The sequence below is a fragment of the Homo sapiens genome, chromosome 17 (genome assembly GCF_000001405.40).
Source record: "Homo sapiens chromosome 17, GRCh38.p14 Primary Assembly".
NCBI classification, from domain to species: domain Eukaryota; kingdom Metazoa; phylum Chordata; class Mammalia; order Primates; family Hominidae; genus Homo; species Homo sapiens.
Window position 1 is genome coordinate 43,174,709 of NC_000017.11, and position 17,717 is coordinate 43,192,425.

Here is a 17,717-nt window from a genome sequence, read left to right on the forward strand (position 1 = left end):
TATGTGAATGAGGATAGCCTTGAGTTGATTGTTGGTTTAACTAAGTGTTTATTACTCTCCACTTTTATATATGTTTGAAATCCCCCATTTAAAAAATCAGTACAAGGCCAGGTGCGGTGGCTCATGCCTGTAATCCCAGCATTTTGGAAGGCCAAGGCAGGCAGATCATGAGGTCAGGAGATCGAGACCATTTTGCCTAACACGGTGAAACCCCGTCCCTACCAAAAATACAAAAAAAAAAAAAAAAATTAGCCGGATGTGGTGGCGGGCACCCCAGCTACTCGAGAGGCTGAGGCAGGAGAATGGCGTGAACCCAGGAGGTGGAGGTTGCAGTGAGCTGAGATCGTGCCACTGCACCCCAGCCTGGGGCGATAGAGCGAGACTCCGTCTCAAAAATAAATAAATAAATAAAATAAAATAAAAAATCAGTAGATTGTGAAAAAACATAGTAACTTGGATGGAGGGCATTGAATGCTACCTCTGTGTAGTTTCTTGGCTAGTGTTTTGGCCTGTAAGTTCGTAAAACTGGTAGAAAACCTAGGTTCTCAAGTTAGGACAACCCTCCTTCTGCAAGAAAAATGTAGAATGTCACTCTCAAGTCATACAAGAATACAAGTTCCCTGAGGGCAGAGACCTTATCTCTCTTATCCATGTTGGTATGTCCTGCTACTAGTAAGTATTTGTTTAGTTAACCAGTCATCATAAAGTACCGTAAGGATTTTACAAATGCTAGATGATTTCTGGGAATGTGGTCAAAATTTAAATACTTTCAGCATACTTCTGTTTCCACATGTTTCCAACATGTGGAAGTTCCTAATAACTTCAAGAATAATTTTTGTGACTTAAGTACAAGTCTTTATGGCATGGTTTTAGCCTATCTTTCTTTCCTGAAACAATTCCTATTTAACAGTGATGGTAAGTTTCGTAAGAACAGGGACAGTGTTTCTTTTGTTCATTGCTGTCTCCCAAGCCCAGCCCATATTGGGTCCTCACAAGTATTTGCTGAGTGAACTTTTAGTGCAACTTATAGAACCCTTTCTAATGTGTTTTTCTCTCTCTCCCACCAACCTTCTCAACCCTAGCCTCACAGCATGGAACCACAGGTTACTCTAAATGTGACTTTTAAAAATGAAATTCAAAGCTTTCTGGTTTCTGATCCAGAAAATACAACTTGGGCTGATATCGAAGCTATGGTGAGTGTTACTTTATTTTGTTTCTCCTTGGTTTAAGCATGGTTATTTTTTCCAAAGGTAGCTATTTTTAGCAGTGTTGTTTCATAGCTGTGAAGTCTGTCATAGTTACCATTTCTGGGCCTTTTGGAAAATTGCTTTTGATAGGGTTTCAGTATTCATATATGAGATGTGCCCCAATAAAGGGAACCAACACATAAATTTCCTTTTGAACATTTTAGAAAGGGAAGGTAAAATTGTTTTTAGTGAGATAGGATTTAGAAAACCTATTAATTTTAGAACCAGTATGAGGAGTGAATTGGTGTGGACTCCACCCAACCAGATCCCAAGGAAATGTTCTCTTGTGTGAGGATATGACTTGTGTTTTGCACAAGGATATAACTTGTGTTTTGCAAGAGCCTATCAATTGTTTTTATTGCTAGGTCAGAGGTTGAGTATCTCAGAGTTGAGCAGGAAAAACTTTCATACCTGCTTAGACAGCAGTTCACCTGTTCCGTTTTTTTGCTAAGGCTTTTCCTCCTCTTGGTTTGCCCTTTGTACTCTTCTGTTTTTGTTCAGTTTGCAGTGGTGAATGTTTTACTTCCTGTGTTGACTGTGTTTCTCTCTGAAACCCTTTGGTAAAAATCTACGTTTACCTGGTTATATCTGATGATAACTAAAAAGGGAAAGAAATGGTAGATCTTAAAAGATGATCTGAGGTAGTTGTCTGCCTTCCAGCAAATACCTGTTCATACTGTCCTATCAGTGACAGTGAGACCCGTCTCAAAAAAAAAAAAAAGATTGGATTCAGAAAGAAGTTAGATCTTGTTTGCCAAAAGATGTGAAAATCAGTTATCTTTCTTTTCCTAGTAGTTAAATGAGCTGACAGCTTGCCTTTTTTCTTCCTTGTAAATTTTAAATTGTATAAGTATAATACATGCCCATTTTAAGAAGAGAAACCATCTCAAGCAGTTAATAGCCCTCCATTCTCCCCCCCCTCATCTGTTACTCCCACCTTCTTTGGGTAACCAATGTTAACAGCCCTGTATGTACTTTAAATTTTCCATGTTCATGCAGATATCATACTAGGATCATACTATAAACATTATTTGGCCAGGCACAGTGGCACACGCCTAGAATCCCAGCACTTTGGGAGGCCAAGATGGGTGGACCACTTCAGCTCAGGAGTTTGAGACCAGACTGGGCAACATGGTAAAACCCCATCTCTACCAAAAAAATACAAAAATTAGCTGGGCCTGGTAGCAGGCACCTGTGGTTCCAGCTACTCCGGAGGTTGAGGTGGGCGAATTGCTTGAGTGCTGGAGGTTGAGGCTGCAGTGAGCCAAGATCAAGCCACTATAATCCAGCCTGAGCGACAGAGTGAGACCCATCTCAAAAAAAAAAAAAAAAAGATATTTTTCGTTTTTTTTTTTTCTTATCTTGAAACTTCAGGAGATATCCATCTATACACATAACTTATACACTGTTCTACAGGATAAACTCTGTCCTATACAAATGTGAGATTAATGGGTCACAAAGCATTTTATTTGAAATTTTAATAGATTCTGCCAAATGCTTTGCAGAACAATTGTAGCAGCACACAGAAATACATGACAGTGTCCTGAAGTTTTGACAACACTGGATGTTATGGCTTTAAAAAACATTTGCTGTTCCCTACCCCACACCCCACCCAAAACACACACACACACACACACACACACACACACACACACACACACACACAGTTTGGTATTCTGATGAGATGTCATCTCATTGCTTCAATTTGCATTGTTCTGACCACCAGAAAGTTTGAAAGTCTTCTGATGTATTTGTTAGGTGTTCTGATTTCCTCTTGTATGAATTTTATGTATATTTTTACCTGGGTTGTTAATTGTATCATTAGCAGTTTTGCTGGTACTCTGGGTGTGTTGCAGATATTAACCCTTTGTTATGGGTTATTAAGGTTGTTTGTTGTTTGTCTTTTGATTTTGTGGGTTTTTTTTACTTTGACTTCTGTGTACATTATAACCTGCCTTTAAATATGTATCTCTTTTATAGGTAAAAGTTTCATTTGATCTGAATACTATTCAAATAAAATACCTGGATGAGGAAAATGAAGAGGTAAAATATATTATGGCACTTATTGCTAGGTGTTCAGAATAGGGATCTTATTTCTCCAGTGATATGGGCTTTAATAATTCAAAATAGTGTTTAGCTTATTTGTGTGGTGGTTTAAATATATTTGATAACTGAATATTCTAAGAAGACTTGCAGCATCTGAGATGGAGTTGAGAAATGGAGAAGCAACACTGAAGAATATCTCAGAGATAACTTTCACTTAAAAAAAAAAAAAGGAAACAGGGTCTCACTATGTTGCTCAGGCCAGTCTTGAACTCCTGGGCCCAAGCAGTCCTCCCACCTCAGCCTCCCAAAGTGCTGGGATTATAGGTGTGAGACACCCACCATGCCTGGCCTGGCCTGAGAGAACCTTTTTTTTTTTTCTTTTTTTTTTTTTGTGAGATGAAGCCTCACTCCATAACCTAGGCTGGAGTGCAGTGGTGCGATCTCTGCTCACTGCAACCTCCAGCTCCTGGGTTCAAGTGATTCTCCTGTCTCAGCCTTCTGAGTAGCTGGGATTACAGGTGTATACCACCACGCCTGGCTAATTTTTGTATTTTTAGTAGAGACGGTATTTCACCATGTTGGCCAAGCTGGTCTCGAACTCCTGGGCTCAAGCGATCAGCCCACCTCGGACTCCCAAAGTGCTGGGATTACAGTTGTGAGCTACCACACCTGGCCAAGATAACTTTTAAAATTATATAGTGACCTTAAGTTCACATATAGCACAAGCTACCACTTAGTTTATAATAATACAAATATAATGGCTAAGCTTTTTTTTTTTTTTTTTTTAAAGAGGGTCTCACTCTGTTGCCCAGGCTGGTGTGCATTGGCATAGCTTGCTGCAACCTAGAGCTCCTGGGTTCAAGGAATCCTCCCATCTCAGCCTTCTGGGTAGCTAGGACATACCTCTCTGCATCTGGCAAAATTTTTTAATTCTTTGGAGGGATGGAATCTCACTTTGTTGCTCAGGCTAATGGCTAAGCTTTATTGAGTGGTTACAGTGTGTCAGACTAGCCACAGTACCATGTATTGAGTACATTATTATCATCACTATTTTACTCATGAGGAAACTGAGGCACAGAGAGGTGAAAATAACTTGTCCAAATGCACAAAAACTTGGAAGTAGTAAAGTAGCCGTTCAGTCCATACCCTCTGGCTGTAGAACTCAAGCTCCTAACTGTTATATTGCACTGCCTTTTAATGTATCTGAAATAAAGGAGGGCACAGTAGATAAGCAATAAAATTTCTTAAGTGTTATTCATGACTAGCAAGTGATATGGAAAAGCTGAACGCTTGGCCTGAGTTTTTGTCTGTCCTATGGGGCTGGTCCTAGTAACAGAAATGCTCAACTGATGAGACACTTATAATTCACTGTTGCTTTTTTTCCTTTTATAGGTATCCATCAACAGTCAAGGTGAGTCCCTAAGAGAGTCTGTTCAGCCTTGTTTAAAAACCTTAATCTGCTCATTGAGGCATTTCTATTTATACTCAAACCTTATTGCAGTATTAATTTTAGAGTGACATTGCACTGATGGACATTAGTTACCTAGGGGATTTTATTGTATAGCAGTTTTTTATATATAGGATGATGCCTTTGAATGGACCCTAAGGACAGCTTTAATGGGAGGTTCTCATATTTAAGATGCCAGTCCTCTGAAATTAATATGCCTCCCAGTTCAACACATATAAGTATTCCCATGGTGTTGCATTTGTTTCTGACTTGGTATATATGTTAATATCAACTTATAAAACAAGTGGTATTCCAAAAGTTTATTTATCAGATGTTCAGAGCTTGGAGTGCATTTTCCCATAGGAACCATGTTATAGTTGAAGATTAGTTTCCCACGATAGCCCCTAAAATCTTAATTTAATCAGGTGAAATGATAGTATTAACATTGAACTCTCAGTGCGTAAATGTGAGGGACCTGGGTTGAGATTTTGTAACTGGAAGATTCCCAGTAGTGATGAAGGAGGGATTTAAGGGGAAGAACTGATCTACAGTAGATGCTGTTTGCAACAAAAAGGGAGTTTGTCAGCAAAAAGATAGTTGCTGTTCATATATAATAAGCTAAGAATTCTTTAAAGTCAGGATTAGCTGTACATTTAACAAATTTTTATTGTATATATTGAAGGTGCACAACATGATGTTATGAAATACATATACAGTAATGCATCGCTTAATGACAGAGATTTGTACTGAGAAATGCATCAATTAGGTGATTTTGTCATTATATGGACATCATAGAGTGTACTTACACAAACCTAGATGGTATAGCCTAGTACACACCTAGGATATATGGTATAACCTATTGCTTATAGGCTGCGAACCTGTAGAGCATGTTACTGTGCTGTATACTATAGACAGTTGAAACACAATGGTATTTGCATATCTAAACATAGAAAAGGTACAGTAAAAATGTGGCATTATAATCTTATGGGATCACCATCATACACATGGTTGACCAAAATGTTATGTGGCAATGGTTACTGTAGTGAAGCAAATTAACATATCTATCATCTCATTATAGTGGCCCTGTGGTGCCCTGAGCCCTCCCCAGAAACCAGCCATAATCTACTCATTTAGCAAAAATCATGAATATAATTTACGATTATTTAACTATAATATGTTCCTCATGTTGTACAGTCCATCTTTAGGATTGGCTATCCTTAATCTTATGGAATCTTTGGTTCTTGAATGAATGAATGGATGTGTACAAAATAAAAATAATTTTAAAATAATAGAATCTTTTGGGGTGTGTGAAGAAGTATCATGGTGTATATTTTTTGTTCTTTTAGGAGAATATGAAGAAGCGCTTAAGGTAATGATTATTTAATCTCATTTTTAAATAATTTAAAAAATATTATTATGGGTTGGTTTTTTTTCTTTTTTTGAGATGAGGTTGTGCTCTGTCATCCAGGCTGGTGTGCAGTGGCACAATCTGGGGTTGCTGCAGTCTTCACCTCCCAGGCTTAAGTGATCCTCCCACCTCAGCCTCCCGAGTAGCTGGAACTACAGAAACACGTCACCACGCCCGGCTAACTTTTTATATTTTTCTTAGAGACAGGGTTTCACCATGTTTCCCAGGCTGGTCTGGAACTCTTGGGCTCAAGCAATCTGCTGGCCTTGGCCTCCCAAGTGCTGGGATTATAGGCATGAGCCACTGCGTCTGGCCTAAAATATTTATTGACTGAAACTCAAACCTGAATTCCATTAGTTATGGGGAGAGACTAGTACGTATAAACACAGTGAAACCTGTTTATAGGGAGACTGATGAATGGGCACGACACTCAGCAAAAGGCAATTCATAATAAAAAGGTCCTTCTCAGTTACAGTCCCATCTCTTTGCTGGTCTTTGTGCTACTGTTCTAGTGTTTAAAAATACAAATAACTGGCCAGGCGTGGTGGCTCACGCCTGTAATCCCAGCACTTTGGGAGGCCGAGGTGGGTGGATCACGAGGTCAGGAGATCAAGACCATCCTGGCTAACGTGGTGAAACCCTGTCTCTACTAAAAATACAAAACAGCCGGGCGTGGGCGGGTGCCTGTAGTCCCAGCTACTTGGGAGGCTGAGGCAGGAGAATGGCGTGAACCCCGGAGGCGGAGCTTGCAGTGAGCCGAGATCGTGCCACTGCACTCCAGCCTGGGCGACAGTGAGACTCTGTCTCAAAACAAAAAAAACAAACAAACCAAAAAACAAATATCTTGGCCGGGTGCAGTGGCTCATGCCTGTAATCCCAGCACTTTGGGAGACTGAGGCAGGCGGATCACCCAAGGTCAGCAGTTCAAGACCAGCCTGACCATGATGGTGAAACCTCATCTCTACTAAATACAAAAAATTAGCCAGGTGTGGTGGTGCATGCCTATAATCCCAGCTACTTGGGAGGCCAAGGCAGGAGAATCATTTGAACCTGGGAGGCAGAGGTTACAGTGAGCTGAGATCACGCCATTGCACTCCAGCCTGGGCAACAAGAGGGAAACTCCATCTCAAAGACAAAAAAAACCCAAAAAACTCTTGATGCCCCCCTTTTTTTTTTCCTAAAGAGGCTGGGTCTTGCTATGTTACCCAGGCCAGCCTTGAACTGCTGGGCTCAAGTGATCCTGCTGCCTCAGCCTCCCGAGTAGCTGGGACTATGGGTGTGCACCACCATGCCTGTTCTAGAACTATGTTTACTGGTTCACATTTTTCACCTCTTTCCCTCACTCTGTTCTCTCCTTTTTTTTTTTTTTTTTTTTTTTTGAGACAGAGTCTCACTCTGTCGCTCAGGCTGGAGTGCGGTGGCGCAATCTTGGCTCACTGCAACCTCCACCTCTGGGGTTCAAGTGAGTCTCATGCCTCAGTTTCCCAAGTAGCTGGGATTACAGGTGTGCGCCACCACACCCAGCTAATTTATTTTGTAGTTTTTAGTAGAGACAGGGTTTCGCCTTGTTGGCCAGGCTGGTCTCAAACTCCTTACCCAAGTGATTCGCCTGCCTTGGCCTGCCAAGGTGCTGGGATTACAGGCATGAGCCACTGTGCACAGCCTATGTCACTCTGTTCTCTATAGCCCATACAATGTTATGTTTAAGGCAGAGATGACAGCCACTTTTTGGACATGGAATGCTTTTTTTTTTGTTTTTAGTTTCTAATTTTTAAAAATTTGTATGTTTAAATATAAAAATGTGTATAAAATGTGATGTTTTGAAATATGTATACATTGTGAAATGATTACCACAATCAAGTTAATTAACACATCCATCACCTCAGATGTAGTTACCCATTGAATGCTTTTTTTCTTTTTTTTTTGCGACGGAGTCTCGCCCTGTTGCTCATGCTGGAGTACAGTGGTGCGATCTTGGCTACCAGCAGCCTACACCTCCCAGGTTCAAGTGATGTTCCTGCTTCAGCCTTCCTAATAGCTGGGATTACAGGTGTATGCCACCATGCCCAGCTAATTTTTGTATTTTTAGTAGAGACGGCGTTTCACCATGTTGGCCAGGCTCATCTCGAACTCCTGACCTCCGGTGATCCTCTTGCCTTGGCCTCCCAAAGTGCTGGGATTACAGGCGTGAGCCACTGCGCCTGGCGTCTTTTTTTTTTTGAGACAGGGTTTTACCATGTTGCCCAGGCTAGTCTTGAACTTCTAGGCTTAAGCAACCCATCCACCTCAGCCTCCCAAAGTGCTAGGATTAGAGGTGTGAGCCATCACGCCCGGCCTCTTTTTTTCTTTGACGTGTGTGTCATTCCTTTTGTTGTTGTTTTTTGAGATGGAGTCTTGCTCTGTTGCCAGGCTGGAGTGCAGTGGCGCGACCTTGGCTCACTGTAACCTCCACCTCCCGGGTTCAAGCAGTTCTCCTGCCTCAGCCTCCCGAGTAGCTGGGACTACGGGCATGCGCCACCACACCCAGCTAATTTTTGTATTTTTAGTAGAGATGGGGTTTCACCATGTTGTCCAGGGTGGTCTCAATCTCTTGACCTCATGATCCACCTGCCTTAGCCTCCCAAAGTGCTGGGATTACAGGCATGAGCCACTGCGCCCAGCGACACGTGTGTCATTCTGTCATAGAGGCTGGAGCACAGTGGTGCAATTATGGCTTACTGCCCCCTCAACGTCCCAGGCTCAAGCAGTTCTCCCACTTCAGCCTCCTGAGTAGTTGGGACCACAGGTGTGCATCACCACACTTGGCTGGTTTTGTTTGTTTGTTTTTGAGTCTTGCTCTGTCACCCAGACTGGAGTGCAGTGGTACAATCTCAGCTCACTGCAGCCTCCGCCTCCTGGATTCAAGCAATTCTCATACCTCAGCCACACTAATAGCTGGGATTACAGGCATGTGCCACCACACCCAACTGTTTTTTGTATTTTTAGTAGAAATAGGGCTTCGCTATGTTGGCCAGGCTAGTCTTAATCTCCTAGCCTCAAGTGATCTGCCTGCCTCAGCCTCCCAAAGTGCTGGTATAACAGGTGTGAGCCACTGTACCCAGCTACCACACCTGGCTAGTTATTTTTATTTTTAAAAAGTTTTTTTTCACTGACAGCACTTGTTAAAAAAAATCACTTCGATATATTTTTTTGAGACGGGATCTCACTGTCACCCAGGCTGGAGTGCAGTGGTATGATCACAGCTCACATAGCTGGAGTGCAGTGGTGTGATTGCAGCCTTGACTTCCTGGGCTCAAGTGGTCTTCCTACCTCAGGCTCCTGTGTAGCTGGGACTACAGGAAAATACCACCATGCTCCGATGATTTTTAAACTTTTTTTTTTTTTTTAATAGAGACAGGGCCTTGCTGTGTTGCCCAGGTTTGTCTTGAACTCCTGGGCCCAAGTTATCTGCCTCAGCCTCCCAAAGTGCTCGGATTACAGGCATGACCCACCTCTCATCGCCCCAAAATACTATTCTTTTTTTTTTTGAGACAGAGTCTCACTTTGTTGCCCAAGCTAGAGTGCAGTGGCGCCATCTCAGCTCATTGCAACCTCCGCCTCCTGGATTCAAGCAATTCTCCTGTCTCAGCCTCCTGAGTAGCTGGGATTACAGGTGCATGCCACCATGCCCAGCTAATTTTTGCATTTTTAGTAGAGATGGGGTTTCACCATGTTGGACAGGCTGGTCTCGAACTCCTGACCTCAGGTGATCTGCTCAGCTCAGACTCCCAAAATGCTGGGATTACAGGCATGAGCCACCGCGCCTGGCCCCAAAATACTATTTTTATTGGAAAAGTAAATGCTTAATTATAGGACATATCTTTAAGTTTCTTGAGTTTTGTTAGTCTAGAATTAACCTTTTTGGAAACCTGAGTTAAGATTCCATAGAGAGAGTCTTGTATAAAAACCAATTAGACTAGGCGCAGTGGCTCACACCTGTAATCCCAGCACTTTGGGAGGCTGAGGCGGCAGATCACGAGGTCAAGAGATTGAGACCATCTTGGCTAACATAGTGAAACCCCATCTCTACTAAAAATACAAAAATTAGCTGGGTGTGGTGGCGTGCGCCTATAGTCCCAGCTACTCGGGAGGCTGAGGCAGGAGAATCGCTTGAACCCGGGAGGTGGAGTTTGCAGTGAGCCGAGATTGCATCACTGCACTCTAGCCTGGTGACAGAGCGAGACTCCACCTCAAAAAAAAGAAAAAAAAAAAAACAGAAAAATAGTAACCCAGTTAAGGAGAATCTTACCTAATTTGCCATCTTAAAACCTACTTTTATGGGTTTTTTTGTTTGTTTTTGTGGAATAAAGCAACACAATACTTTTGTGGTTTTAATAACAAAACCAAGTTCATGACCGGCCTGGGTAATGTATGACAAAAAATTTTTTAAATTAGCCAACAGGCATAGTGACCCAAACCTATGATACTAGCACTTTGGAAAGCCAAGGTGGGCGGAGCCCGGGAGTTCGAGACTAGCCTGGGCAACATCATGAAATTTCACCTCTACAAAAATACAAAAGTTAGCCAGGTATGGTGGTGCGCACCTGTAGTCCCAGTTACTCAGGAGGCTGAGGTGGGAGGATAGTTGAACTCAGGTGTCCAAGACCAGTCTGGGCAACACAGTGAGACTCCTGTCTCCAAACTAAAACAAAAACCTTAGCCAGGTGTGGTGGCATGCGCCTGTAATCCCAGCTACCCGGGAGGCTGAGGTGGGAAGATCGCTTGAGCCCAAGAGACAGGCTGCAGTGAGCCATGCACTGCATTCCAACATGGGTGACAGAGCAAATTGCCATCTCAAAAAAATAAAAATAAATTTCTAGGCTGGGCACGGTGGCTCATGCCTGTAATCTCAGCACTTTGGGAGGGCGAGGTGGGTGGATCACCTGAGGTCGGGAGTTCGAGACCAGCCTAGCCAACATAGTGAAACCCCATCTCTACTACAAATACAAAAATTAGCTGGGTGTGGTGGTTGGCACCTGTATGTAATACCAGCTACTTGGGAGGCTTAGGCAGGAGAATCGTTTGAACCCAGGAGGCGGAGGTTGCAGTGAGCCAAGACCGTGCCATTGCACTCCAGCCTGGGCAACAAGAGCAAAACTCCGTCTCAAAAATAAATAAATAAATAAATAAATAAATAAATAAATAAATAAATAAATTTCTAGTTAACATTCTTACCAAAGAAATAGCAAGTTGAGTGTAAACATTACATTTGTTGTTGGATTTAATAAAGCAAACACAAATCCTAGTATTTTCTAGCATAACTTACCACACTCTTCTGTTTTGATGTCTTTGAAATGTTATTTAGGAGAAGATAATCACGTCGCATGTTTTTGTTTCATAATGTATGCTCTTAGATGGCAGTTAAACAGGGAAACCAACTGCAGATGCAAGTCCACGAAGGGCACCATGTCGTTGATGAAGCCCCACCCCCAGTTGTAGGAGCAAAACGACTAGCTGCCAGGGCAGGGAAGAAGCCACTTGCACATTACTCTTCACTGGTGAGAGTCTTGGGATCAGACATGAAGACCCCAGAGGATCCTGCAGTGCAGGTATGAAGGGTATGGCCCAGTCTATCCAATATCGTTTCTTTTTTCTTTTTTAAATAAAGCTGAACAGGTTTCTTTATTTTATTTTTTTATTATACTTTAAGTTCTGAGATACATGTGCAGAATGTGCAGGTTTGTTATATAGGTATACATGAGCCATGGTGGTTTGCTGCACCCATCAACCTATCATCTACCTTAGGTATTTCTCCTAATGCTATCCCTCCCCTATCACCCCACCCCCTGACAGGCCCCCGTGTGTGATGTACCCCTCCCTGTGTCCATGTGTTCTCATTGTTCAACTCCCACATATCAGTGAGAACATGCTGTGTTTGGTTTTCTGTTCCTGAGTTAGTTTGCTAAGAATGATGGTTTCCAGCTTCATCCATGTCCCTGCAAAAGACATGAACTCATCCTTTTTTATGGCTGCGTATTATTCCATGGTGTACATGTGCCACATTTTCTTTATCCAGTCTATCATTGATAGGCATTTGGGTTGGTTCCAAGTCTTTGCTATTGTGAATAGTGCTGCAATAAACATACGTTTGCATGTGTCTTTATAGCAGAATGATTTATAACCCTTTGGGTATATACCCGGTAATGGGATCGCTGGGTCAAATGGTATTTCTGGTTCTAGATCCCTGAGGAATCGCCACACTGTCTTCAACAATGGTTGAACTAATTTACACTCCCACCAACAGTGTAAAAGCATTCTATTTCTCCACATCCTCTCCAACATCTATTATTTCTTTTTTTTTGAAACGGAGTCTCACTCTGTTGCCCAGGCTGTGGAGTGCAGTGGCGCGATCTCGGCTTATTGCAAGCTCTGCCTCCCGGGTTAACACCATTCTCCTGCCTCAGTCTCCTGAGTAGCTAGGACTATAGGCACCTGCCACTACGCCCAGCTAATTTTTTTTATTTTTAGTAGAGACAGGGTTTCACCGTGTTAGCCAGGATGGTCTCGATCTCCTGACCTCATGGTCCGCCCGCCTTGGCCTCCCAAAGTGCTGGGATTACAGGCGTGAGCCACCGCGCCCGGCCTCCAACATCTATTATTTCCTGACTTTTTTTTTTTTTTTTTTTTTTTTGAGACAGAGTCTTGCACCTTCGCCCTGGCTGGAGTACAGTGGCGTGATCTTGGCTCACTGCAACCTCTGCCTCCCAGGTTCACGTGATTCTCCTGCCTCAGCCTCCCGAGTAGCTGGGATTACAGGCACACACCACCACACCTGGCTAATTTTTTGTATTTTTAGCAGTGACAGGGTTTCAGTATGTTGGTGAGACTGGTCTGGAACTCCTGACCTTGTGATCCGCCCACCTCGGCCTCCCAAAGTGCTGGGAGTACAGGTGTGAGCCACCATGCCCAGCCCTGTTTCCTGACTTTTTAATGATTGCCATTCTAACTGGTGTGAGATGGTATCTCATTGCGGTTTTGATTTGCATTTCTCTTTTTTTTTTTTTTTTTTTTTTGAGATGGAGTCTCACTCTGTCGCCCAGGCTGGAGTGCAGTGGTGCAATCCGGGCTCACTGCAAGCTCTGTCTCCCGGGTTCACGCCATTCTCCTGCCTCAGCCTCTCGAGTAGCTGGGATTACAGGCGCCCACTACCACGCCTAGCTATTTTTTTGTATTTTTAGTAGAGATGGGGTTTCAACATGTTAGCCAGAATGGTCTTGATCTCCTGACCTCGTGGTCCACCCGCCTCAGCCTCCCAAAGTGCTGGGATTACAGGCGTGAGCCACTGCGCCCGGCCTGATTTGCATTTCTCTAATGACCAGTGATGATGAGCTTTTTTTCATAGGTTTGTTGGCCGAATAAATGTCTTCTTTTGAGAATTGTCTGTTCATATCCTTTACCCACTTTTTGATGGGGTTGTTTTTTTCTTGTAAATTTGTTTAAGTTCCTTATAGATTCTGGATATTAGCCCTTTGTCAGATGGATGGATTGCAAAAGTTTTCTCTCATTGTGTAGGTTGCCCGTTCACTCTGATGATAGTTTCTTTTGCTGTGCAGAAGCTCTTTAGTTTAATTAGATCCCATTGTCAATTTTGGCTTTTGTTGCCACTGCTTTTGGTGTTTTAGTCATGAAGTCTTTGCCCCTGCCTATGTCCTAAATGGTATTGCCTAGGTTTTCTTCTAGGGTTTTTATGGTTTTAGATCTTATGTTTAAGTCTTTAATCCACCTTGAGTTAATTTTTGTATAAGGTGTAAGGAAGGGGTCCAGTTTCAGTTTTCTACATATGGCTAGCCAGTTTTCCCAGCACCGTTTATTAAATAGGGAATCCTTTCCCCATTGCCTGTTTCAGTCTATCCAATTTCTAGATTTATTTCTCATTGTCTTTGTTGTAAGATTTGCACATTTATCAGAGATTTGGGAATTAGTGTGCTCCTCTCTCTGACTTTTGAAACTGGTAATAGTTTACTTCTGTAGAAGGGGAGCAGGCTAGAGACTTTGTTTTCCTTTAGTACGCCTTCATACTGTGACTTTTTAAAAAATTATATACTTGTATGATTTCACAAAAGAAACCTCAAAATAATACACTCCAGGAAAAGTATTTTAAATAGAAAAAGTAACCTCTAACATCTCGGCTTGTGTTTTCTCCCAGTCGTTTCCACTTGTTCCATGTGACACAGACCAGCCTCAAGACAAGCCCCCAGACTGGTTCACAAGCTACCTGGAGACGGTGAGTGTTCTGTCTCGCTTGGGTTTTAACTGCGGTGTTGGCACAGGTGGAATGTGGAAGAAATAGAAAACTGAACCCAGGTGGCTGCTGCCTCTAGTACCGGTGAAGAGTGGTAGCTTATAATTTCCAAACTTAGAACAGTTCCAGTCGAGAAAGCTCTAACCTTTGCAGTGAAGTGTCAGAAAAAGAGGGAGTCTAATTCTAAGCATGTAAGGGAGAGGGACAACTCTCTGCTTGAGAAAAAGTTAGAAATTTACTTATCAAAAGGATGTTTTGATATTTTCTTCGAACCAGTTTAGCTGTGGAAGGAATAGACCTTTTGCTATGTTTCTGTCTATTCAGTAGCAGTTGTTTATTGTGTTTTTGTATTATACCAGAGACAGTTAGGTTTCAGATCTATTGATATCTTCACATTTTTTTCTGATATTGGAACTGAGTTTTTTCCCTACCTTCTGCTCCATATTCTAGTTCAGAGAACAAGTGGTTAACGAAACGGTTGAGAAGCTTGAACAGAAATTACATGAAAAGCTTGTCCTCCAGAACCCATCCTTGGGTTCTTGTCCCTCAGAAGTCTCAATGCCTACTTCAGAAGAAACATTGTTTTTGCCAGAAAACCAGTTCAGCTGGCATATTGCTTGCAACAACTGCCAAAGAAGGATTGTTGGTGTCCGCTACCAGTGTAGGTAAGCAGTTGCTTGGGAGTAGCTAGCTAGTGATAGACCTTACAGCTTTTACCTCCCTGGCTTTCTGTGTAGGTAAAGGGAAATTAATTGTACCCTGTTTCTGAGCATTAGATGTTGTAGCTGTGAGTTGGAAGCACAAGCTACTCTTCACCCACATGCTTTGTATGTTGTAACTATTCAGATTGTTGTGTTCAAATGTGCATTTGGATTAGCAAAGCCAGGCAAAATTATGTTCCCCTGAACGGACAAAATTAGATCACTAAGGGTAGTTCCTCGGTTGTTCCAAATGCCTTTTTTTTTTTTTTTTTGGTGACAGGGTCTCTGTCACCCAGGCTGGAGTGCAGGGTGCAATCATGGTTCACTGCAGCCTCACCCTCCCAGGCTCAGACAATCCTCCCACTTCAGCCTGCCAAGTAGCTGGGATCACAGACTGCCTTTTAATTATTTTTTTGGAGATGGGGTCTCCCTATATTGCCCAGGCTAGTCTCAAACTACTGGACTCAAATGATCCTCTTCTCCATGGCCTCCCAAAGTGCTGGGATTACAGACATGAGCCACTGTGCCTGGCCCCATGTACTTTCACATCTTACCTTCCTCCCATAGATTTTCATTTAAAATGGATATGGGTTAAGTGTTATTATCCTCATTTTATTAATGAGGAAAATTGAGGCATGGCATAGTCAGATGGCATGCTCAGGTTACCTGCTAGTTGGTACTGGAGCAAACATAGAAGTATGGTCTTATATCTCCCTACCCCAGGTACTTCCTATTCTGCCATTGTGTATTGTGCCATTCTTTCCCCACAGCCTATGCCCATCCTACAATATCTGTGAAGATTGTGAAGCAGGGCCATATGGCCATGACACTAACCACGTCCTGCTGAAGTTGCGGAGACCTGTTGTGGGCTCCTCTGAACCGTTCTGTCACTCAAAGTACTCTACTCCTCGTCTTCCTGCTGCTCTGGAACAAGTCAGGTAAAACCCTCTACATGGAGATGCTTATTCTCTGATTGACTTCTTGGTTCTGGTGACAGGGTATGAATCACAAAACTACAGATAGTCTCCTTAGTTCTGCTCATTTTCAATTGATGTGCAATAATGAAGACAGTTATCCAAAGTTAGTGAAATAGAAATAATAGCTATAAAAAGAAATTAAGAAACTAAAGTAGGCTGGGCACAATGGCCCATAACTGTTATCTCAGCAACTTGAGGGGCTAAGGTGGGAGGAGTGCTTGAAGCCAAATATTTGAGACCAGCCTGGGCAACATAGCAAGATCCCGCCTCTACAAAAAAAATTTAAAAATTAGCCAGGCGTGGTGGTGCGTACCTATAGTTTCAGCTACTTGGGAGTCTGAGGTGAGCAGATTGCTTGAGCCCAGGAATATGAGGTGGAAGGGAGCCATGATTAGACCACTGTACTCCAGCCTACATGACAGAGTGAGACCCTAATTCTAAAACAAAAAAAGAAATTAAACTGGAAGCTGACACTGATGGAAATTGCAATTGGCTCCACATAGCTTCAGAATTTATTTGTGACTTTCTTTTAAGACTTGCTTTTATTATCTCACAGGCTCCAGAAACAGGTTGATAAGAACTTTCTTAAAGCAGAAAAGCAAAGGTTGCGAGCTGAGAAGAAACAACGTAAAGCAGAGGTCAAGGAACTTAAAAAGCAGCTTAAACTCCATAGGAAAATTCACCTGTGGAATTCAATCCATGGACTCCAGAGCCCCAAGTCTCCTTTAGGCCGACCTGAGAGCTTGCTCCAGTCTAATACCCTGATGTAAGCCCAGGACTGGGGTGGGAGCCAAAACTTTAGGCCCAGCTCTCTGAAACTGGAACTTCAACCAATTTCCGTCTTATTTATTGGTAGCCCTTAACACCTAAATCTTTAAAACTTTCCATTATCTGGTCTTAGTATTTTTTGTTTGTTTGTTTTTTGAGACAGAGTCTTGCTCTGTCACCCAGGCGGTAGTGCAGTGGTGCGATCTCGGCTCACTGCCAGCTCTGCTTTCGGGTTCACGCCATTCTCCTGCCTCAGCCTCCTGAGTAGCTGGGACTACAAGCACCCGCCACCACGCCTGGCTAATTTTTTGTATTTTTAGTAGAGATGGGGTTTCACCGTGTTAGCCAGGATGGTCTCGATCTCTTGACCTCGTGATCCGCCCGCCTTGGACTCCCAAAGTGTTGGGATTACAGGCATGAGCCACACAGCACCCGGCTTTTTTTTTTTTTTTTTTGAGATGGAGTCTCGCTCTGTCGCCCAGGCTGGAGTGCAGTGGCATGATCTAGGCTCACTGCAACCTCTGCCTCCCGGGTTCAAGTGATTCTCCTGCCTCAGCCTCCTGAGTAGCTAGGATTACAGGTGCATGCCACCATGCCCGGCTAATTTTTGTATTTTTTCAGTAGAGATGGGGTTTCATCCTGTTGGTCAGGCTGGTCTCGAACTCCTGACCTCATGAATCCGCCCGCCTTGGCCTCCCAAAATGGTGAGATAACAGGTGTGAGCCACTGCGCCTGCCTGGCGTGGTCTTAGTATTATTAAAGGGTGGTTTGGTAGTTTTTTGTTTGTTTTGTTTTTGAGACGGAGTCTTGGAGTCTCGCCTGTTGCCCAGGCTGGAGTGCAG

The 17,717-nt window shown here is 42.9% G+C and overlaps 1 protein-coding gene across 9 annotated transcripts in view; it reads left to right on the plus strand.

The window, feature by feature from the left end:
* The window catches only part of NBR1 (NBR1 autophagy cargo receptor), a 41,280-nt gene that overhangs the window by 4,300 nt on the left and 19,263 nt on the right, over nt 1–17,717 (plus strand). For 6 of the 9 annotated variants that reach the window (XM_011524813.3, NM_031862.4, XM_024450749.2 and 3 more), the window contains exons 2-10: nt 1,083–1,193; nt 3,228–3,290; nt 4,686–4,704; nt 6,087–6,109; nt 11,542–11,736; nt 14,334–14,411; nt 14,880–15,094; nt 15,901–16,068; nt 16,664–16,873. In XM_011524813.3, coding sequence (XP_011523115.1) covers nt 1,092–1,193; nt 3,228–3,290; nt 4,686–4,704; nt 6,087–6,109; nt 11,542–11,736; nt 14,334–14,411; nt 14,880–15,094; nt 15,901–16,068; nt 16,664–16,873 — 1,073 coding nt within the window. In that variant the 5' untranslated portion in view covers nt 1,083–1,091. The remainder of the gene's footprint in view (nt 1–1,082; nt 1,194–3,227; nt 3,291–4,685; nt 4,705–6,086; nt 6,110–11,541; nt 11,737–14,333; nt 14,412–14,879; nt 15,095–15,900; nt 16,069–16,663; nt 16,874–17,717) is intronic. The other 3 variants (XM_017024643.3, XM_006721903.3, NM_001291572.2) reach the window with 2 other exon arrangements.